This window comes from Homo sapiens, chromosome Y, assembly GCF_000001405.40.
Source record: "Homo sapiens chromosome Y, GRCh38.p14 Primary Assembly".
Taxonomy (NCBI): Eukaryota; Metazoa; Chordata; class Mammalia; order Primates; family Hominidae; genus Homo; species Homo sapiens.
Window position 1 is genome coordinate 24418954 of NC_000024.10, and position 24207 is coordinate 24443160.

The 24207-nt window shown below is 40.0% G+C and overlaps 1 long non-coding RNA gene across 2 annotated transcripts; it reads left to right on the forward strand.

Moving 5' to 3' along the window:
- Window positions 1–1009: 1009 nt before the first annotated feature.
- Window positions 1010–14115, forward strand: LOC107987350 (uncharacterized). 2 transcript variants are annotated; one of them, XR_001756084.2, is made up of 3 exons: window positions 1010–1465; window positions 6968–9600; window positions 10242–14115. It is a non-coding gene; the product is annotated as an uncharacterized LOC107987350 (long non-coding RNA). The 2 variants fall into 2 exon arrangements; XR_001756083.2 differs by having other exon boundaries at window positions 7436–9600.
- The last annotated feature ends 10092 nt before the right edge of the window (window positions 14116–24207 follow it).

The window sequence follows — 24207 nt, forward strand, 5'->3', positions numbered from 1 at the left end:
AATTTTTTGGTGACCTTTAACTTTTGCATTTAAAGTAATTGTATTCACTTCATCTGCTTAATTTGTAGTTTACTAAATCTTGGAATGGAATAGTAGACACAATGCAGGAGAGGCAAGCCGCAAACAGAGCTAAGCCTCCTGGTTTCTTGGCTTTGTTCAGGAAAGAATTCAATGTCAAACCAGAAGTAGAAAAAAAAAATAGCTTAGCTGATGATGAGAGGTGATAATGTGCTAGCAGCCCTCGCTTGCTCTTGGTGCCTCCTCGGCCTCGGAGTCTGCTCTGGCTGTGCTCCAGGAGCCCTTCAGCCTGCCACTGCACTGTGGGGGCCCCTCTCTGTGGCTGGCTGAGGGTGGAACCAGCTCCCTCTGCTCACGGGGAGGTGTGGAGGGACAGGTGCCAGTGGGAGCCAGGACTGTGCATGGCACTCCTGGGCTGACATTGGTTCCATGTGGGTGCAGGCTGGGTGGGCCCCACACTCAGCGAAGCTGGCCAGCACCTGCTGGGCTTGATCAGAGGATGAGCTCCCTCTGGGCTGCTGGAGTGCCTGGGCTAGATGCCACAAAGTCCCCAGTGAGTTCCATTGAGAGGTGAAGCCAGCTGGGCTTCTGGGTCAGATGGGGACTTGGAGAACTTTTCTGCCTAGCTTAAGGATTGTAAATGTGCCAATCAGCACTCTGTGTCTAGCTAAAGGTTTGTAAATGCACCAATTAGAGCTCTGTGTCTAGCTAATCTGGTGGCAACTTGGAGAACTTTTGTATCTAGCTAAAGGATTGTAAATGCACCAATCAGCACTCTGTCTAGCTAAGTTATTGTAAATGCACCAATAAGCACTCTGAGAAAACCGACCAATCAGCTCTCTGTGAAATGGACGAGTGAGCTCTATGTGAAATGAACCAATCATTAGGATGTAGGTGGGGCCAGATAAGGGAATAAAAGCAGGTCACCCGAGCCAGCAGTGGCAATCCACTCAGGTCCCCTTCCATGCTGTGGAAGCTTTGTTCTTTCGCTCTTTGCAATGAATCTTGCTGCTGCTCCTTACTTGGGCCCACATCACCTTTATTAGCTCACCGTGAAGGTCTGCAGCATCACTCCTGAGGCCAGTGAGATCATGAACCCACCACGAGGAATTAACAACTCCAGACAAGCTGCCTTTAAGAGCTGTAACAGTCTCCGCGAAGGTCTGCATCTTCACTCCGGAAGTCAGTGAGACCACCAGAAGCAAGAAACTCTGGACACATCTGAACATCTGAAGGAACAAACTCTAGACACACCATCTTTTAGAACGGTAACACTCACCACTAGGGTTGGCAGCTTCATTCTTGAAGTCAGTGAGACCAACAACCCATCAATTCCAGACGCATTTTGGCAATCACAAAGGTACTATCGCCTATCACCAAGCAGTGAGACTATCAGCAAGTGGTAAGACCATCGCCTATTGGTGAGATCATCACCTACTGCCAAGTGGTGAGTACCATCAGACCCCTTTCTCTTGCTATTATGTGCTATTTTTCCCTAGAATTCTGGGGCTAAATATTGGGCACCTTTCGGCCAGTTAAAAGCAACTAGCGTGGCTGCTGGACTAAAGACACGGGTGTCAGCCTTTCTGAAAAGGGCTCTCTAACAACCCCCGACTCTTTGGAGTTGGGAGCGTTGGTTTGCCTCAAACCAGCTTCCACTTTTCCTGTAATTCTGGGCCAAGCCAAGGGTTGACAGAGAGGAAAGCCATTCGGCTCCAGGGTCCTGACAACAAGTTGGTTGACCCTGCAGCCATGAGCAGAACTCTCAAAGGCATGTTGCCCAAGAGAGACTCGTCCATCTATCCTATCTATCTTGACACTTGCCCCTGGGTCCTAATGCCTGCCAGACAAACTTCCTCTTGCCACTTTTCTCTGAGGCTAGCCCCACTTCTAAAAACCATTCCCTGTCTCTGGTGCTTCCTTAGTTTCTGCTATAATATGATTTCTAGTGTAAGCTTCAGGACTCTGTTACCTTCCTCAGGCACCTGGGCTCACCAATCAGAAAAACATATTTTTTGCCCAAAGCCCCATTGCAGGGGGAAATATCTGGAATTTTAGGATCCCACCTCAGACTAGCAGGCCTAACAAAAGCTATTGCTGAAGCTAGGATATGGGGAGCCTCAGAAATTGTATCCTTCTTATTCACATAAGTGAGGACAAAAGGTGTCACACTTCCAAACCTGGAGATCATTTCCTTCCCTCAGGTTATGGACCTCCACTTCTTTTTTGGGGCATAATATCTTTATAGGACACAGATAAGGTCCCAGTACTAAGAGGAGAATGCTTAGGACTCTAACAGGTTTTTGAGAATGCATCAGTAAGGGCCACTAAATCCAATTTTTTCTGGTCCTCCTTGTGGTCTAGGAGGACAGGCAAGGGTGCAGCTTTCCCAAAATGCATCAGAAAGGGCCACTAAATCTGACCTTCTTCACTCCTCCTTGTGGTCTTGGAGGAAAACTAGTGTTTCTGCTGCTGCATTGGTGAGTGCAACTATTCTGATCAGCAGGGTCCAGGGACTGTTGTGGGATCTTGAGCAGGCATTGTCCCTCCTGCTGCATCAGTGAGCACAACTATTCTGATCAGCAGTGTCCAGGGACCATTGTGGGTTCTTGGGCAGGGGGAGAAACAAAACAGAACAAAACCATAGGCAGTTTTGCCTTTCAGATGGAAAACACTCCGGCATCAAGAGGTTCACCCTTGAAATGCATCCTAAGCCAATGGTACCAATTTGACACACCAATCCTGAAAAGTAGGTGGCTCATTTTTTTCTGCACTTTGGCTTGCCCCAATATTCTCCCTCTGATGGGGAAAAATGGCCACCTGAGGGAAGTACAAATGACAATACTATCCTACAGCTTGACCTCTTTTGTAAGAGGGAAGGCAAATGGAGTGAAATGCCTTATGTCCAAGCTTTCTTTTCATTGAAGGAGAATACACAACTATGCAAAGTTTGCAATTTACACCCCACAGGAGGACATTTCAGCTTACCCCCATATCCTAGCCTCCCTACAGCTCCCCTTCTTATTAATGATAAGCCTCCTCTTATCTCCCCTGCCCAGAAGGAAATAAGCAAAGAAATCTCCAAAGGACCCCAAACCCTCCAGACTATCAGTTATGCCCCCTACAAGCTCTAGGGGAAGGGGAATTTGGTCCAACTCAGATACATGTACCCTTCTCCCTCTCTGACTTAAAGCAGACCAAGGCAGACCTGGGGAAGTTTTCAGATGATCCCGATAAGTACATAGATGTCCTACAGAGTCTAGGGCAAACCTTTGACCTCGCTTGGAGAGATGTTATGCTACTGTTAGGCAAAAGCCTGGCCTTTAATGAAAAGAATGTGTCTTTAGCAGCAGCCCGAGTTTGGAGATACCTGGTATCTTAGCCAAGTAAGTGATAGAATGACAGCTGAAGAAAGGGAAAAAATCCCTACCAGTCAGCAAGCCATCCCCAGTATGGATCCCCACTGGTATCTTGACTCAGATCAGGGGGACTGGAGTCGTAAACATCTGTTGACCTGTGTTCTAGAAGGACTAAGGAGAATTAGGAAAAATCTCATGAATTATTCAATGATGTCCACCATAACTCAGGGAAAGGAAGAAAATCCTTCTGCCTTCCTTGAGTGGCTATGGGAGGCCTTATGAAAATATACTCCCCTGTCACCCGAATCACTTGAGGGTCAATTGATTCTAAAAGATAAGTTTATTACCCAATCAGCCACAGATATCAGGAGAAGGCTGCAAAAGCAAGCCCTTGGCCCTGAACAAAATCTAGAGGCATTATTAAACCTGGCAACCTCCATGTTCTATAATAACGACTAAGAGGAACAGGCCCAAAAGGAAAAGCAGGATCAGAGAAAGGCCGCAGCCTTAGTCATGGACCTCAGACAGACAAACCTTGCTGGTTCAGAGAGGACAGAAAATGGAGCAGGCCAATCACCTGGTAGCGGTTGTTATCAGTGTGGTTTACAAGGACACTTTAAAAAAGATTGTCCAATGAGGAACAAGCCACCCCGTAATCCATGTCCGCTATGCTGAGACAATCACTGGAAGGTGCACTGCCCCAGAGGACAAAGGTTCTTTAGGTCAGAGGCCCCCAACCAGATAATCCAACAACAGGAATGAGGGTGCCCTGGGCAAGTGTCAGCTCACGTTGCGACCCTCACTGAGCCCTGGATATGCTTAACCATTGGTGGCCAGGAAATTGACTTCCTTCTGGACACTGGTGCAGCCTTCTCAGTGGTAATCTGCTGTCCTGGATGACTGTGCTCAAGGTCCGTTACCATCCAAGGAATCCTGGGACATCCTGTAACCAGGTATTTCTCCCACCTCCTTAATTGTAATTGGGAGGCTGCTCTTTTCACATGCCTTTCTTGTTATGCCTGAAAGTTCTGCACCCTTACTAGGGAGGGATATATTAGCCAAAGCTGGAGCCATTATCTACATGAATATGGGGAGTAAATTACTCATTTGTTGTCCCCTACTTGAGGAGGGAATCAACCCTGAAGTCTGGGCATTGGAAGGACAATTTCGAAGGGCAAAATATGTTCACCCAGTCCAAATCAGGCTAAAAGATCCCACCACTTTTCCTTGTCAAAGGCAATATCCCTTAAGGCCTGAAGCTCATAAAGGATTACAGGATATTGTTAAACATTTAGAAGCTGAAGGCTTAGTAAGGAAATGCAGCAGTCCCTACAACACCCCAGTTCTAGGAATACAAAAACCAAATGGTCAGTGAAGATTAGTGCAAGATCTTAAACTCATCAATGAGGCACTAATTCCTCTATATCCGGTTGTACCCAAACCCTATACCCTGCTCTGTCAAATACCAGAAGAAGCAGAATGGTTCATTGTTCTGGACCTCAAGGATGCCTTCTTCTGTATTCCCCTGCACTCTGACTCGCAGTTTCTCTTTGCCTTTGAGGATCCTGCAAGATCACACATTCCAACTTACATGGACAGTCTAGACCCAAGGATTTAAAGATAGCCCTCATCTGTTTGATCAGGCACTGGCCCAAGATCTAGGCCACTTCTCAAGTCCAGGCACTCTGGTCCTTCAGTATGTGGATGATTTATTTTTGGCTACCATTTCAGAAGCCTCATACCAGCAGGCTACTCTAGATCTCTTGAAATTTCTAGCTAATCAAGGATACAAAGTGTCTAGGTCAAAGGCCCAGCTTTGCCTACAGCAGGTCAAATATCTAGGCCTAGTCTTAGCCAGAGGGACCAGGGCCCTCAGCAAGGAATGAAGACAGCCTATACTGGCTCATCCTCACCCTAAGACCTTAGAACTGTTATGAGGGTTCCTTAGAGTCACTGGCTTTTGCTGACTATGGATCCCCAGAAACGGCAAGTTAGCCTGGCCCCTCTATACTCTAGTCAAGGAGACCCAGAGAGCAAATGCTCATCTAGTAGAATGGGAAGAAGAGGCAGAAATAGTCTTCAAAACCTTAAAGCAGGCCCTAGTACAAGCTCCAGCTTTAAGCCTTTCCAAAGGATAAAACTGCTCTTTATACATCACTGAGAGCAGGGATCACTCTTGGAGTCCTTACTCAGACTCGTGGGACAACCCCACAACCAGTGGCATATCTAAGTAAGGTAATTGATGAAGTAGCAAAAGGCTGGCCTCACTGTTTATGAGTAGTTGCAGTGGTGGTGGTCTTAGTGTCAGAGGCTATCAAAATAATACAAGGAAAGAATCTCACTGTCTGTACTGCTTATGATGTAAATGGCATACTAGGTACCAAAGGAAGTGTATGGCTATAAGGAAACTGCCTACTTAGACATCAGGTGCTACTCTTTGAGGGACCAGTTCTTCAAATACATATGTGTGTGGCCCTCAACCCTGCCACTTTTATCCCAGAGGATGGGGACTCCATCGAGTATGACTGCCAACAAATTATAGTCCAGACTTATGCCACCTGAGATGATCTCTTAGAAGTCCCCTTAGCTAATCCTGACCTTAACCTATGTACCGATCGAAGTTCATTAGTGAAGAACAGGATATGAAGGGCAGGTTATGCTATAGTTAGTGAACTAACCTTACTTGAAAGTAAGCCTGTTTCTGCAGGGTCCAGTGCCCAGTTAGCAGAACTAATGACACTTACCCGAGCCTTAGAACTGGGAAAAAGAAAAAGAGTAAATGTGTACACAGATAGCAAGTACGGTTATCTAATCCTACATGCCCATGCTGCAATATGGAAAGAAAGGGAGTTCCTAACCTCTGTGAGGACCCCCATTAAATACCACAAGGAAATTATACAGTTATTGCATGCAGTGGAAAAACCCAAAGAGGTGGCAGTCTTACACTGCCAAAACCATCAGAAAGGTGAAGGAGAAAAGTCAGAAGGAAACTGTTGGTTTGATTCTGAGGCCAAAATTCCTGCCAGGCAGAATCCCCCTTTAGAAATACCTATGGAAGGACCCTTAGTATGGAACAAACCCCCACCAAGAGATTAAGCCTCAGTATTCCCCACCTGAAGCAGAGTGGGGAATTTCATGGGGGCATAGTTTTCTCCCCTCAGGTTGGCTACAGAAGAAGGAAAGGTACTTATACCCAAAGCCAGCCAGTGGAAAATACGTAAAACCCTCCACCAAACTTTACATATGGGTATTGAAAACACTCATCAAATGGCCAAATCCCTATTTACAGGGCCAAATCTTCTCCAAACCATCCAACAGGTAGTCAAAGCCTGTTAGGTGTGCCAAAGGAATAATCCCTTCATCCATAGTAAGACCCCTTTGGGAGAGCAAAGAATAGGTCACTATTCTGGAAAGGACTGGCAGTTAGATTTCACCCATATGCCTAAGTCAAAGGGATTTCAATACTTGTTGGTCTGTGTTGATGCCTTTACAGATTGGATAGAAGCTTTCCCCTGCAAGACAGAGAAGGTTTAGGAAGTGATTAAACTCCTAATTCATGAAATAATTTCTATATTTGGGCTTCCCCAAAGCTTACAGAGTGAAAATTGTCTGGCTTTTAAGGCTGCGATAACTCAAGGAATTTCCAGGGTGCTAGCGATACAATATCACCTTCACTGTGCCTGGAGGCCACAATCCTCAGGGAAGGTCAAGAAGGCAAATGAAACACTTAAGAGACACTTAAGGAAACTAACACAAGAAACACATCTCCCATGGCCTAGCTATTTTGACCATTGCCTTGTTGAGAATCCGAAATTCTCCTCACAAAATGGGGCTCAGTCCATATGAAATGCTGTATGGACGATCTTTTCTCACAAAAGACCCCCTACTGGATCAGGAAATGGCCTACTTGGTCAAAGATATAACTTCTTTGTCAAAATATCAACAAAACCTTAAAAACCTACCTGAAGGATGTCACAGAGAAAAGGGAACAGAGTTGTTTCAACTCTTTGTGGGAAGGACCATACTCGGTAATCCTCTCTACTCTCACTGCGATTAAGGTGGCAGGAATGGAAACTTGGATTACCACACCTGAGTTAAACTTTGGACGTCCCCTGAGGAACCTGTGGAACCGTCAGCTCAGGAGTCCCAAGATCAGCCAGACCAGCCTCGATACACCTGTGAACCATTGGAGGACTTGCATCTTCTATTTCAGAAGGAAACATCCCACACTAAAAAGGCTCCTACCACTGATCCTGAGGAAAAACTCCTTCCTGCTTAAAAAAGATAAGTGAAAACAACACACTAACCATACTCTTTGTGATAGGATTATATACTCTAGCTCCTGCCAGTACGAAAATGCTAATCACATCAACCTTCCATCTTTCTTCTTTTAACAGCAATTTACTCCTACCTTTAACTCAGACTCGAGAAAATGATCTCTTCTTCCAGAGCATCCTCTTTACCTTCCTATTTGCTCTTTGCCTATGCATCCCTCCTGCTTCCTTGGATACCTCATATAATCACCCCTCCCCTTCCACTTTTTCCTAATTTCCTCTACAAGACTCTCAACTTAACCCAGTCTCTGTTAAACCAGTCCAGTCCTTCCCTGGCAAATGACTGTTGGCTTTGTGTCTCCCTATCAACCTCTTCTTATGTTGCCACTCCCATTCCTGCCAAAAATTGCATCTTTACCAACTTAACCTACCACCCTTGTTATGAAGGAAAAGACCCTTTCTGACTTCTAAATATGCAATCGTTAGCCAACTTCCCCATCTCTGATAGGATCAAGAATACCCTAACAGGATGTGCAATCCAACTTTTACGTTCTTAGATTTCCAACCACACCTATTATGCAAGCAATGAAAAGCCCATACATGGCCCTGTAGCTATGAATACTATCTTAACTTTCCAAGCTCCTTTATGCAGCCAATGCAACCTCTTATGAGCCTGCCCCTGGGGCACCTACTACCCCATCAGTGTAATTACACCCTACAACTTCAAGCCCCAACTGATCATAGTAACCCAAACAGCTCCATTCAGACAGCTTGTCTGCTTCTCAGGGCCCCAAAATCATCACTGCCTCCCTGCTTAACAAACGGTCCAGGTCTTGTAATGGCAAACATACTCCCTGCATGATCATTCACCCCTGGGCCCCCTGCAGCAGTGCCCCCACCACTAGTGAATGCCTTCTCATCCCCTCTTTCAATCACTCTCTCAAATTGTTCCTAGTGGATACAAAACGTTTTTTTCTCCAATGGGAAAATAGAACACAGGGAGCCATTCAGTTTTCTCCCAACACCCCTTGCCAGCCAGTCACTGGAGCTACCTTGGCAAGTACTCTAGGAGTATGGGAAAAAGAAAACAACAAATTCACACACCTTTTTAACATACACAACCAGTTCTGTCTACCCAGCCAAGGTATATTCTTCTTATGTGGAACATCGACCTATATCTGCCTCCCCACTAAGTGGACAGACAGCTGCACTTAGTCTTTCTAACTTCCAACATTAACATTGCCCCAGGAAATCAAAACTTATCAGTACCCCTCAAAGCTCAAGTCCATCAGCACAGGGCCATACAACAAATACCACCTACTTATAGGGTTAGGAATGGCTACTGCTACAGGAACCAGAAGAGCCAGTATATCTACTTCATTATCCTACTACCACATACTCTCAAAGGATTTCTCAGGCGGTTTGTAAGAAATAACGAACCTATCCTTACTCTGCAATCCCAAATAGACTCTTTAGCTGCAGTGACTCTCCAAAACCGCTGAAGCCTAGACCTCCTCACTGCTGAGAAAGGAGGACTCTGCACCTTCTTAGGGGAAGAGTGTTGTTTTTACACTAAGCCATCAGGGATAGTACGAGATGCCACCCAGCATTTATAGGAAATGGTTTCTGAAATCAGACAATGCCTTTCAAACTCATACCAACCTCTCTAGTTGGGCAACATGGCTTCTCCGCTTTCTAGGTCCTGTGGCAGCCATCTTGCTTTTACTCGCCTTTGGACCCTGTATTTTTAACCTGCTTCTCAAATTTGTTTCCTTGGAATTGAGGCCAAGAAGCTACAGATGGTCTTACAAATGGAAACCCAAATGAGCTCAACTAACAACTTCTACTGAGGACCCCTGGACCAACACGCTGGCCCTTCCACTGGCCTAAAGCGTTCCCCTCTGGAGGACACTACAACTGAAGGGCCCTTTCTTCACCTCTATCCAGCAGTGAGTAGCTAGAGTGGTCATTGGCCAAATTCCCAACAGCAGTTGGGGTGTCCTGTTTAGAGGGGGGATTGAGAAGTGACAACATACTAGCAGCCCTCGCTCGCTCTTGGTGCTTCCTTCACCTCAGCATCCGCTCTGGCTCTGCTTGAGGAGCCTTTCAACTGGCCACTGCCCTGTGGGGGCCCCTCTCTGGGGCTGGTTGAGGCTGGGACTGGCTCCTTCTGCTGGCCTCCTGTCTAGCTAAAGGATTGTAAATGCACCAATCAGTGCTCTGTATCTAGCTAAAGGTTTGTAAACACATCAATCAGCGCTCTGTGTCTAGCTAATCTGGTGGGGACTTGGAGAACTTTTCTGTCTAGCTAAAGGATTGTAAACACACCAATCAGCACTCTGTGTCTAGCTAAAGGATTGTAAACGCACCAATCAGCAGGCTGTCAAAATGGACCAATCAGCTCTCTGTAAAATGGACCAACCAGATGTCTGTAAAATGGACCAATCAGTAGGATGTGGGTGGGTCCAGATAAGGGAATAAAAGCAGGCCACCTGAGCCAGCAGTGGAAGCCTGCTCGGGTCCCCTTCCATTCTGTGGGAGCTTTGTTTTTTCACTCTTCACAATAAGTCTTGCTGTTGCTCACTCTTAGTGTCTGTGCCACTTGTATGAGCACCACGAAGGTCTGCAGCTTCACTCCTGAGGCCAGTGAGACCATGAACCCACCAGAAGGAAGAAACTCCAGACACATCTGAACATCTGAAGGAAAAAACTCCAGACACACCATCTTTAAGAACCGTAACACTCATCGTGAGGGTTCGCGGCTTCATTCTTGAAGTCAGCAAGACCAAGAACCTACCAATTCCGGACACAATGAGACAGAATTACAGCTCTTGCAGTGTTACAGCTCTGTGACTCGTCTTTCAGAACAGGGTTACACCATAGCAAGAGAGGAACAGGTCAGGGATATTTTGCAGTCATATTTATATTTGCTTTTAAATGCATGGATTATTGCAGAAGTGCAGAAATTTATAGGGAAGGGGTGGTAATCATTGGATCATTGCCATAGAAGGGTGGTACCTCCTGTGTGTTGTAGCGGCAATGGTAAAATGACACGGCAGACTGGTGGGCATGTCTGGTTGAAAACTCCTTCTGCCTAGTCCCTGTTTTAGTTAGTCCTCAATCTGGATCCTATGTGAGCCCTACCCCTGGAGTTGAGTCCCACCTTCAACCTCATTCTCCACTCAGACATTAACTACTTTCCCTTAATCTTAAGGGGGCTGCAGGAGGGAGGAGGTCCATGCACTGTAACTGCTTCCTGCTGAGTCATGAGCATTGGCCTTGCCTAGCACTAGAGAAGTAAATTTCTCTGGATGCATGAGCTAAAGGGGAGAAACAACATTATAATTCTCCAGGTCAGTACATAAGATAACTCAAAAGCCTTAAGCCAGCGTTGTTTTCACCTGGAAATATAGTAATCTACAAGATACAAACCTTACTATGAGGCTAAACAAACAAGTAAATAAATTAGTAACAATACAGCTGTCAAGGGTCCTAAGATAGATTTTAAAAAGGTGGAAAAAGAGAGAAATACCCTTCTTCACAGAAAATTGTGAAACTGACAATGATACCCTTCCTCTTCTAGAAAATTCAGGAGCTCAATTGTGTTTTTCTCAGTCTTCCCTAGTAGGAAGACCCTCTATTCCCACTGGCAGCATTATGTTGCCAATTCTGGATGAATGACTGTTGATACTTTTAAGTAGGTAGTGGCGATCTTCCAAAAATTTAGATTTAGGTTACAGTGTCCTCCATTTGTGCCTGCAACTTATAAGAAACAGGTTTAATCCTGGACAATTGTATCCAACTAGGTATGCCCTAAAGTTTAAAAGGACTGGGATAGTCAACAACACCTGATAGGGGCCCTTCTGTTTTGGTTGTAATTGATTCTCAGGGGATGCTTCTTTCAAAATGTTTACAAAGTTTCATGATTGAATAGGAGGCCAGTTAATTGTGTTGTGAGAGGGGACAATACTTTTTGTCCATAGGCTTGGAGGAGTTTTCTAACCTGGCTTAAGTTGACAATATGTGTCAACTTATGAGTTAACTATGTATCTCTTTATTAAGCAGGAGACCCCAAGCTAAACATGGCCTCACATAACTCGCCTCAAGTGGATTTTTTGGGAAGTATTTTAAGGGTCATTCCTATGTGTATAAAGACTATGGCTAAGAGAGGAACCTGGGTCTCTGAGGTCTCCTGACATGACTTAGCTAATGTCTTTTCAAAACATGATTAGATTTTTCTATTTTACCTGAGGATTGAGTACTCCATGGGGAGTGAAGGTGATAGGTAACGTCTAAAGCTGAATGCAATCTATTGGGTCACTCTAACTGTGAAGGTAGTTCCATTATCGCTCTGCAGACTTTCAGGTAATTGAAACTTTACAGTTGATCTTATTAAGTAAAAATTTGGACACTCATAATGCCTTCTCTGTCCTTGTGGGAAAAGCCTCAATTCACTTGGTGAAGGTGTCTATAAAAACAGGCAAATGTTTCCTTCACCTGTATGGTTGTATCTGATAAAACCCTATTTGCTGACTGGGCTTGGTGGCTCACACCTGTAATCCCAGCACTTTGAGAGGCCAAGGTGGGTGGATAACGAGGTCAGGAGATTGAGGTCATCCTGGCCAACACAGCAAAAGCCCATCTCTACTAAAAATACAAAATTAGCTGGGCACGATGGCACGTGCTTGTAATACCAGCTACTTGGGAGAGTGAGGCAGGAGAATCTCCTGAACCTGTGAAGTGGAGGTTGCAGTGTACAGAGATCGTGCCCCTGTACTCCAGCTTAGCGACAGAGTGAGACTCCTTGTCAAAAACAAACAAACAAACAAAAAATTCTATTTGACAGGCTTTCCAGTGTATGCCCCTCAATGTTGTAAAGGTTTGAGTAGAGGAAGGAGTGTGGAGTAGCTTCCTGGATTGTTACGGTCACAAAGATCATAGGCCCTGGCCGTCCTCTTTATAGTCTGGAATAGATTCTTTCCTTAAATGATTTGAGAAAATAACTTGTATATTGAGACCTGTCCCAAAAGTGAGGAGTCATATAAAAGATTAACTCTTTTTCATTGCATTGCCTCAGGGAGAAAGAGTTTTGTTGCATTCTAGCAACCATCCTGAGGGATTCTTTTGTAAGCCTTTCTGTTCTGCCGATTGAATTTTTTCGTGGGTACAGTGTGGTGTTCCCAACATGGGTGCAGTATCTGACATTAGCCAGTGGCCTGTAACAATGTTACCTCTTTAGATGTGGCCTCAGCCGTTTTCTTTCCCAGAGAATTTCCTTTGATAATAGAAGGGCCTTCTTTTTAGTGCCTACTGCAGTGAATCATGGCTACCTTCTTTAAGAGCTAGACAGTTAGTTATATGCAAATACTACATTATCTAATGCCAAGAAATTGAGAATCTGCAGATTTTGGTATCCATGGATGTCCTGAAACAATCCCTCACTGATACTGAGGGACCATTATGTATACTTTAATATCACACATCTCACAATGGAAGTAAAGCCTCCATTATCACTCAAGTAATTGGCCATCCTGTGGCTTTCTCTTATAGGTAGGTAGTTTCAACTTTGACATCTTAATACTACATCTAGAAAAATTTCTAAGTTTTCTTATTAGTATATATGATTTGTATGTTCTTTGAAGTTTTCCATGTAGGTAATCATGTCATCTACAGATGAGGAATATTTTACTTCTTTCTTTCCAATTCTTATATATTAAAGTATTTTTATTAGTATTATTTGTCTCATATTACAAGTTAAAAATCTGCAGGACAATGTTGAAGAGAAATGGTAATAGCGAGCCTTCTAGTCTTTCTTCTGATTTTGAAGGTAGTATTTTCTGATAAGGAACACTTTCTTTATTTGTACTTTAATCTCTTATTATAAATAGCTATTCTGTTTTATTTGATGTTTATTCTGTATTCATTGATGTAATTATACTTTTTCCTACTTTAATATATACGTATGATGCATTAAATAAATAGATTTCCTTAAGTTGAGCCCCTCCTTTCTCTTTGAAATAAATTTAGTGTAGATATGTGGTTATGATGTATAACCTTACATTTGTTTGCTCATTGATATGGTTTGGCTCTGTTTTAACCCAATCTCATGCTGAATTTTAACCCTCGTGTTTTGGAGGGGGGCCTGGTTGGAGGTGATTGGATCATGGGAGCAGAATTTCTCTTTAGGTTCTCATGATAGCAAATGAGTTCTCATGAGATGGAATTTTTTGAAAATGTGCAGCACTTCACCCTTTACACTCTCTTCCCTGCCACCATGTGAAGACACACTTGCTTTCCCTTGGCCCTCTCACATAATCTTAAGTTTTCTGAGACCTCCTAGCCATGCCTCCTGCACAGCCTGAGAAACTATAAGCCAATTAGGTCTCCTTTCTTTATAAATTACCCAGTATCAGGTGTTTCTTTACAACTGTGTGAAAACAAAATAATACGCTTATATTTTGCTCATGTTTTCACATTGTTGTGAAGTAAAATTAATCTTTTTTGTTTTTAATTCTTATGCTGTTTGTTTGAAAGTAGTAACAAGACATTATTCATTTGAAAATTAATTAGGATTGTTTTTCTTCTCTTTTTCACTTCTCAGAAATATTTATTTCCTTGAATGTGTAGTAGAATCCAACTATAAAAGCAGTTGATTCTAATACTTTTTTATAGGGATAATTTAAATGTGGACACATTTTTTTTCAAAATGCTACAGTAAGTGCAGTTTCTTAGTTCTTCCTAGTTCCTAGTTTGGGTAACTGACTTTTTTGTAGAGACTTTTCTGTTTCACTGAAGAATTAAAATTTGTTTGTGTAAAGATGTTTCTAATACTGCTGTATTTCTAAATTTCTGCTGCCTAGCTGAGCATACCCTTTCTTTATGTCTTAATATTATGTGTTCTTTCTTTCCCCAGTGAATCTGGTCAGAGATCTGTAAGCTTCGTTATCTTCTCAAAGAACTAATTCTTTTTCTATTTGATTAACTTCTGCTCTTCGTTCATTATTTTCTTATTTATGCCTTTTTTCTTTTGGTGTACATGTTTCTTCCTTTCCTAACTATAACAAATGATTCACATATTAGTGCCACCTTTTTTATTTCTTCATGAAACACCAAACGTTAACCTTTTTTTTATGACTAACTTTTCTTTTATCAGGATTCCAAAAGTACTGATACTTAATATTTTAAACTATTATTTAGTTCTGTATTTCAAATTTTGTTTTTTATATGTTATTAACAAGTCTGTATTATGTATTTCCAATTTACATGATTAAAAATATGTATATTTTTATAATTGTTTGTATTGGAATCAGAATGTGTTCTTGATAATACATGGACCTTTGAAATGTATTGAGACTTGCCTTAAGGCATAGTATGTCTTTAAATGTTTCTGAGTTTTTAGAACAATGTGCATTGCTAGATACTATATCCTGTAACTGCCTATTGGATAAAGTTTTTTAAATAGCTTCTTACATAGTTTAACCTCTGCTGAACCAATAATCTTGGAGTGTTGTATTAAAATGTTTCATTATAATGTAATTCATTGATATAATTAATTGAATCAACTAATTATTTCAATTAATTTAAAGTTAATTAAAATAATTGAATTGTTTAAATTATTTAATTAATTTTTAAATTTCTTGGAATATTATGATTTAAACAATTTTTGCTGTCTATATTTTAGAAGTGTAGATTAAAACTGTATTATCCTCCTAGTCTACTGAAAGTTTTGTTATCTAGGTTACCATAATTTTTCCTTTAGTATCAATTGTTGCTTTAAATCTGAAAACATGCAGTGTTTGCTAGGGCATGGAATTTACCCAGTATATCCATTTACATAATTTATTAACTGTTTCTTGCCTTGTGTTTGATGTAAGTTTCATAAGCAGCACAGAGCTCCAGTTTTTAGAAAGATATATATTTTTAGTACGCATGTTTATTTAAACTTTTTATTCAAATATTTAGATATATGTTTATAATTTTAAGTTTTATTTATATTTGCTCTAGTCCTTAGGTTTCACTTTCATCTCCTGTTTAAAATTTGTTGTATTAAACTGTTGTATTTTTTCCTCATTTTATATATTGTCATGACTTGAAGAAATATATCTTAATTATGTTTAAATCTAATCAAGATCTTTACCAGCTTTAAGAAAAATTCAAGACCTTATCATCTTTTATTTTGATTTTTTTATTTTGGATGTTTTAATATAATATTTTAAACTCTATCTTATTTCATTAAATTATATGAAATGTATTATTATTATCCACTGTTTTTGATAACTACATGCCATTGTTTTACTAGGTTTCTTCAAGAATGACCTCTCTTTCTTTCCCAGAAATTTCTTATAGAGAAAGTCTCTGTTCTAGAAAATCTTTCAGCATTTTTAAGTCATTTTATTGGTTATGAATTTTTCTTTCTTTTCTGAGAATAAAATTCTCTTCTTGATTTTAAGTTTACTCATTCAAGCCTTTCAAGGAATTAAACTGTTTCTGACTTTTGTTCTCTAAATGCTCTATTGAGTTTTTACTTTCCAAGTATTGTATTTATTGCATCTAAAATTTCTATTTTCTCTCCAGATTTTCAGACCTATCTTAACCTTTAAGATAATCTTTTAATACTTGACCACACTTTTAATATTAATGTTTCATTTTTTAAAATTCATTAAGCTAGTTATGTTATATTCAATGTCTGCTTATTAAAGGATCTGCAGTATTTCTCAAATGGTTCTTGTTGTTTCTCCTTATATTTTTCGTGTTGGTTTCTTTCATGACTTTTCAATATTTTTATATTTATGTGAATCATCTAAACTTTAGGAAAATTCTTTAAGGCCTGAGTTTAAGGTTTTTAAAGGGATATTTGTTGTACTGCAGTCAGGAGCTCTACAAAAGATTTTTTCCAGCCAATTCTTACACTGAGTTTTTGGAAAGTGACAGAAAGGGTATACATTCTGCTGTCAAACCTACATAATAACAGATTTTGGCTATAAAATTAAAGAGTAAGAATCACATCTATGCTCTTTATAACTGAAAACCAAGGTTAAGATGAATGTCTTTCTCTCTGTTTGTGGGGAGAGTTTGAATGGCTGTATTCATCAAACATTTCATAATAAGTCATCTGCAAGCTGAGGAGCAAGGAGAGCTGATCCAGGTCCCCAAAACTAAAGGACTTGGATCCTGATGTTTGAGGACAGAAAGCATCCAGCATGGAAGAAAGATGTAGGCAAGGAGACTAGGCCAGTCTCATCTTTTCATATTTTTCTAGCCAGCAGCTAGTTATGCTGGCAGCTAGTAAGATGGTGCCCACTCGGATTAAGGGAGGGTCTGTCTTTTGCAGCTGACTTACTCAAACGTTAATCTCCTTTGGCAGCACCCTCACAGAGACACCAAGGATTAATTCTTTGCATTCTTCAATCTAACCACATTGACACTTAGTATTAACTATCACAAGTCCACCCCTTGTCAACTTGAACCCACACATATCTCCTGAGATCATACACAATCTTTGAATAAGGAAAATAATAAGGTCACAAGTATGCCTAATATAATACAACTATTCTTCACACAACTGGAAATGCAGAAATCCCCAACCCAAATACCATAACGTAAAGTTAATAATACTTAAGTGCTAATGCAAAGTCAATAAATCTTATAACACATAATGAAGGAAAAAGGAAATAAAGATATTTTCTTAGTATGAGTGTATAAACACAAAAAAATTTTTTTAACAAAAGAAGAAGGAAATACAGTTACAGCCCTCGCTTTTGCAGCTGATCAAGTGGTTGTACCTGGTATTGATGACTACCTTCTTCTACTACCCTTTCTATATTCCCTTTGGTTTCAGCAAGCACCTGAGCATATTTTGAGATTGGCCAGAGTGAGACAGTATCACTAAGCATGTTAATTAATTAATTAATTAGGTTAAATCAATCTTTTAACCAAATGACTTAGAAATGTAAAAAGCAAAAACCTTCTATAATTCTTTACAAATTTTGCTAAAGAACAGATTTGTGCCCTAAGAGTACTTTGTTGTATTTTTATTGCAAGCCTCAATTTACAAAAAACCCATATAATAACTTTTTAAATTTAATTAATGTTCACAAAAGAATTCCTTTGGCAAGATTAATTTTAACAATCCTTCCACAGCTTGTTTGAACTGTTAGCTTTATCTTATCTAATTGAGAACAAATGTTTTACCCTAGGCAAGAATTTATATATTCATGCCTTCTTATAATTTTTTATTAAAAACACATTTTACTGTATGTAAATCATTTACTCATATATAACTCTACTTCCAGTGCTTTTAATTACATCTTATAATGGTAACTTCTAGCAATTTTAACTTTAATGTAAAACCAGGTAAATTGTTTTAATTATGTGCTAGGTGCAGTCAAGGGTTTGACTCCTTTCAGCATAATTAAGGGTATGGTTAATTCTATTTGTCCTCAGGCCTTACCAACAGTGAAGCAAAGTTGAACTGCTCTCAAAAACCAAAAATGCTGTTTATAACCTTAAAACATTTAGCAAATCTAGTATTTCACCTGCATAATTTCGTCCACCCACTGATACATTGATATTTGTGTTCTACTGATAATCTTTAAGGCTGTTTTTATTTCTCAAAGATTAAAAGTCATGTGAACAAAAAGGTACATGTCTTTTTTCTTCCCTTCAATAAATATTTGATCCAAGTTCTTATCATTCTTTAAGTAAATTTATTAGACCTCTTTATATAGACATCATACACACAACATATATATATAACTACAGAAACAGGCTGAAGAAAACCTAGTAATTATAAGGTTTTTGTTGTTGTTGTTGTTGTTGTTTTGAGACAGAGTCTCGCTCTGTCACCCAGGCGGGAGTGCAGTGGCGCGATCTTGGCTCTCTGCAACCTCTGCCTCTGCAACCTCAACCTCACGCCATTCACCTGGCTCAGCCTCCTGAGTAGCTGGGACTACAGGCGTCCACCTGGTTAATTTTTTGTATTTTTAGTAGAGATGGGGTTTCAACATGTTAGCCTGGATGGCCTCTATCTCCTGACCTCGTGGTCCTCCTGCCTCAGCCTCCCAAAGTGCTGAGATTACAGGCATAAGCCACCACACCCAGCTGTCATAAGGTTTTTTATTTGCCAATTTCCAGATTGAATTACTGTCCTCTCATGCATGCATTAGAGTGGCCAGACAAAATGAAGAAAAAGGATTCAGTTGACTGAGAAAAAAACTTCTACCAGCAAAACAAGATCCAGGAAAAGAAAAATATAAAGGTCTTTTAAATATACCTATAATTTGGATATCCACTTTTAATTAAGTTGAGGACTCTTTAAGAATATCCTTTTAATTTTTTTATTACCTGACTCTAGTAGCACCAAGCAGCCAGTGTTTCTGGCTTTCAAATTTTAACAAAAGTAACTTACCAGGTGCTCAGAGGAAAAAAAAAAAAAAAGTAAGGCAGTTTGTTAAGTGGAAGAGAATCAGCAAAGGGCAAAAGTTACATGCTGATATAAAACCAGAAGAGACTCTTTCCTTAAGCCAGGATTAAACCTGGGCCACCATTGTAAAATGGCAGAGGCCAAAACAAAACAGAGCCACATTGGTTCAGGTCATGTTCCTGAAAACATAAAACAAGATGGATGCCTGCGCAAAATTTTCTGACAGCTATAGAGAAGGACATACAAAGCACACCAGATTGGCCACAGCTCTAGACCAACCTGAGAAACATCTATTCACAATCAAAACTCTACAAAGAATATAAGCAGTGATCATTGGGGCATTGTCCGGCAAAACATTTCATATGAAGAAAACAAAAAAACCTTCTGCTTAAAAGTAAATTGCAGACAGGATGAAGAAAAGAAAAAAAAAGTCTTAAGTGTAGAGCAGGAAAGACAATTTTCTTTCTTATGCAAATGAGTTCCTTCAACAAGGAGAAAAACTTAATGCTGTTGGGTGAGGTTGGATCCCTTGGTCGGTGAACATGAAGACACCATGAATGCCTGGCATTTTTCAGCCCAGAGGAGATGGGAATGAAGAGCTGCCATTCAACTACCATCCCACATGTGCCTGGGGCTGTTTGGGTAGGGTGTTGAAGAGTTTCCTCTATCCTCAGGAGAAGTCCAAGAATGAAAACACTTACAAACAAAATAGAAAAAGATTTTTTAGTTTACATCTTACTTACCTCAAGCCCCACATCTAGACACCGAAATGTTATAGAACTTTCTCCTTAGTTAAGCTAAAACAAGGATCTTCTCACATGATTATGAAGGAAGAGTCTAATGAATACACTGAAGGGTTAGGAGTAAAGTTTATTGGGCCAAAAGGAAAAAGAAAACAACAACAACAACATCAACAACAAAGTGTCAGCAGAGTGGGAAGCACTCGTGTTATCTGGCCCTGACCTCACAGATTGAGGAACACCAGGTCACAACATAGCAACTTAAGAATCCAGGTTCCTCTCCTGCCAAAAGGTGTGAATTTCAGTGGCTCCACCTCCTTTTCCCATTGCACAGGTAGGCATTATTCAGAAAGAAGCCGTCAGAAAATGGCTGGCTTCATTTGAAACCAGCAGTCCAATTTTTCAGCCATCAGGCTGAAATGAAGTAAGACACTTTATAGTTGTTGTAAATTTTTTTCTTGAATTTCTTTTTCAGATGGCTTTTTCTTGGCATGAAAATATGCTCCTACTAAGTTTTTAAAGTGAATTTGGTATTCTGCTACTTAACTGAATTTCTTTATCAATTCTCAAGATTTTTAGTGTAGTATTTAAGTTTTGCTATACAAACAGTTAAGAGATCTGCAAACAGATAATTTGACTTTCTTCCTTTTTATTTGGATGTCTTTTATTTCTTTCTCTTGCATAAATAATCTTGCTAAGACCTCCAGTACTCTGTTGAATAAAAGTGGTAAAAGTAGACATCACTGTCTTCTTCTAGGTCTTAAGTAAAAAGCCTTCACCTTTTAATGTTCAGTGTCTTATCAGGTATTGATTTGTCATATTTTGCCTTAACTGTGTTGTGTTACATACCATCTGTACCTAACTTGTTCACTTGTTTTAATCACAAAACATGCTAAATTTTTCAAAATAATTTTTCTGCATCTAAAATAAAAAATAAAGTGCCTAGCAGTAAACTTAATTAAAAAGATAAACACTGTCTACACTATAAATTATAAAACATTAATTAAAAAACTAAAAAATATGAAAAACATGAGAAATATTTTTTGTTCATGAGTTATAAAAAATATTGCTAAAATGACTATGCTACTCAAGGTAATCAACAGATTCAATGCAAACTCAATAAAAATACCAATGACATTTTTTCACAGAAATGGAAAAAAACAGGCCTAAAATCTATAGTGAACAAAAGAAACTCCCCAAATAGCCAAAGTCATCTAGCAAAAAAGAACAAAGCTGAAAGCATCAAATTACCCGACTTCTAAATATACTGCAAAGCTATAACAAGCAAACAGAGTGATACCGGCATATGAAACAGACAGATAGAACAAAGTATCCATTGATTCTAGTAATAAATTAATAAGCCTAGAGCCAAATAATTTTTAAGGTATTTAAGAGACATATTTAAGAAAAGTCAACCTCATCAATAAATGGTGCTGTAAAATTAATTTCTTAAATACAAAGTAATACAACTAGATGCCTACCTGTTACCATATTTTAAAAACTTAATTAAAAATAAATAGAAGATTAAAATGTAAAACTCAAACTTATAAAACAATTTCCATAAAACATATAGAAATTCTTAATCAGATAGGACAGAAAAAATTTTTAAATAAGACCCCAGAAGCACAGGCAACAAAAGCAAAAGCAGACAAGTAAAATTACCAGAATCTAAAAAAAAAAAAAAAAAAATAGTAAAAATAAATTTACAGAGTGAAGAGACAGCTTACACTGTGGGAGACTATATCTGCAAAATATACATATGACAAGAGATAAACATACGAATACATAACAATTTTAAGAGCAATAATAACACACTATTTAGTAATAGGCAAGATACCTTAACTGACATTTCCTCAAAGAAGACATACGAATGGCCAATTACATACAATGATGCTCAGCATTATTAATTATTAGAAAACTGCAAATCAAAGCCAAAATAAGACACCAAATCACTGCAGTAAAAATGAGTATAATTGGAAATGATACATTTCTGACCCTTTCAACAGGAGGCATTGTGACATATCTCAGGGCCTATCATTTAGGTGATACAACTTCCTCTACTGCCTGAACACTGCCCACGAGGGGCATTATGCCATAGAGTTTGCTGTAGCCTCGCAGTTATGCAACTTTTCTGCCAGAAACTTGTCTAGAAGGAGAATATTGGAAAACTTCTGGCTCAGCATTTAGGTGACAAGTCTGTCATGTCTGTTTCATTACCACAGAGTAAATTTTGACATATACCTAGGCACAGCTCACAGGCATGATACTGACTCTCACATGTGGATCCTACAGATAAGAATAATTTTGACTCTTGTAACTTGCTTTAGAAACATGAGTCATTTCTTAGATCTCTTTCTGGTAAAGAGGTCACTGAAGATTATAACAGGCTCAGATATTTTATAAAGCCCATGACTTGCACAGAGTGTCATAAGAGAACCCAACAGAAAGGTGAAATTGTGAGTCTCATATGCACACCCAGCTGACAGTAAGGACTGTCACATCTCACATACATGAAGCCAACTGTCACTCATGAAAACAGGACATGTATGGTATTGTAAGTCTCATCTCTGGAATATTCTGCCATTGTGATTGTGATAAAAATATTTGCTGAGCATCTGTGATTTGACTCTCCAGACTGGTTCCAGCTCATATATGGGATTGTGATCTCTACCTGGACCAACATATAAATGATGTGACTCTCCTGCCTTGGCACTTGTCTCATTAAGGATTGTGACATATCACTGGATCAAAAACCCAGGTGACGTTACATTCTTGCCTGAGCCTTGGCCACAGACATTGCTGTGATATATGACTGTCTCCACCAATTAGGTGATGTAACTCTCCTCTCTAGAATAGGTCCTGAACAGAAGGGTTGGTGGTGACATATTTCTAGGCCAAGCAAACAGGTGATGGTTCTTTTTCACCAGGGCTATGTGTCAAGGAGGGCATTGTAACATATCTCCGTGACTGTCACCTAGATTATGTGACTTGAGGCTTGGGCCTCACCCACACAGAGCATTGTGACATAAAAGTTAAACCTGCAGCAAGTTGATTTAACTCTTTTGCCTTGGTGTTTTCCTAAGGAAGCTTTGTAACATATCTCAGGACCCAGGTGATGTGGCTCTTCTTCCTGGTATCTTCCCACGTGTTAGATTGTGACATATACCTATAAAAGCACATAGGTGATATGACTCTCCCTTTCTCCCTGAGTCCTGCCTACTGAGGACATTGGGACATATCTCTGAGCACATGACCTAAGTGATATGATTCTCTTCCCCTGCCTGGGCCTTTAAAATGGTGGGATTGTGGCATATTGCTGAGCCTAGAGTTTAACTGATGTGACTCTACTCTTTTTTTCTGAACCATGCCCGCAAAGGGAAATTTTGACATATTGCACCCAGATGATGTTACAGTTTTGTCAGAGTTCTGAATAAAGAGGAAATTATTACATATGAGTGGGCCCAGCACCCTGAAGATGCTACTGTCCTACCTGCATGCCAGTAGCCTCAGAGAGTATTTCGACATACCTTTGACTCATTGTACACGTGTTTTGGCTCTCATCCCATGGCTAAACTTTTCCACATGTGGAATTGTGTCACATTGCTGGGTCCAGGTAATGTGACCCTTCTTCCTAGATTCTGCCTAAAAAGGGCATTGTGGCATTTGTTGCCGTATCATCTAAGTGATATTATTCTTTTTCCTAATTGTTGACAAATAAATGAGATTATGACATAAATCTTGCTTCAGTTCACAGGCATGATGGTCAAACTTATATTAGGGCTCAGTCAATAGAAGATATTTTTCCACTCATTGCTAGGCTTATGGAAATAGGTAAAATGGGTTTTCTGTTTGTACAATGCTCACAGAGGTTTACAACACTAATTCATATTGTATAAACTCCTTTGGTGGTACAGAGAGTTTTATAACAAGAAACATAAAAAAATTAAGATTGTGACTCTAAATTACACAGCCAGGTGGAAGTAAATATTGTCACAAGCACACATTTACAAAGCCCACTGTTAAGGTACTAAGTCTAACAAAGAAAAACAGTACAAAGTGGGAATCATGACACTCACATGTGGGTCTAGCCAATGGTGCGATTATGACTCATTTTTGGTCCCAGCTCATAGAAATAAAAATAGGTCTCATTCCTGAACTCAGCCTAAATGAGAGATGTTGACTATCATACCTGGGTTTAGGGCAATACATAACACTGGGAGTCCATATGAGCATGTGGGCCTCAGAGAAGTTTGCAACTCTCATACATGCCATATACATCCCTCGGATGTTGCAGAGGGTTCTATATAATGGCCCAGCACACACATGACATTGTGACTCATATACACACCAAGCTTACACTTAAAGGTACCATCCTCAAAGATGAGCAGCATCCA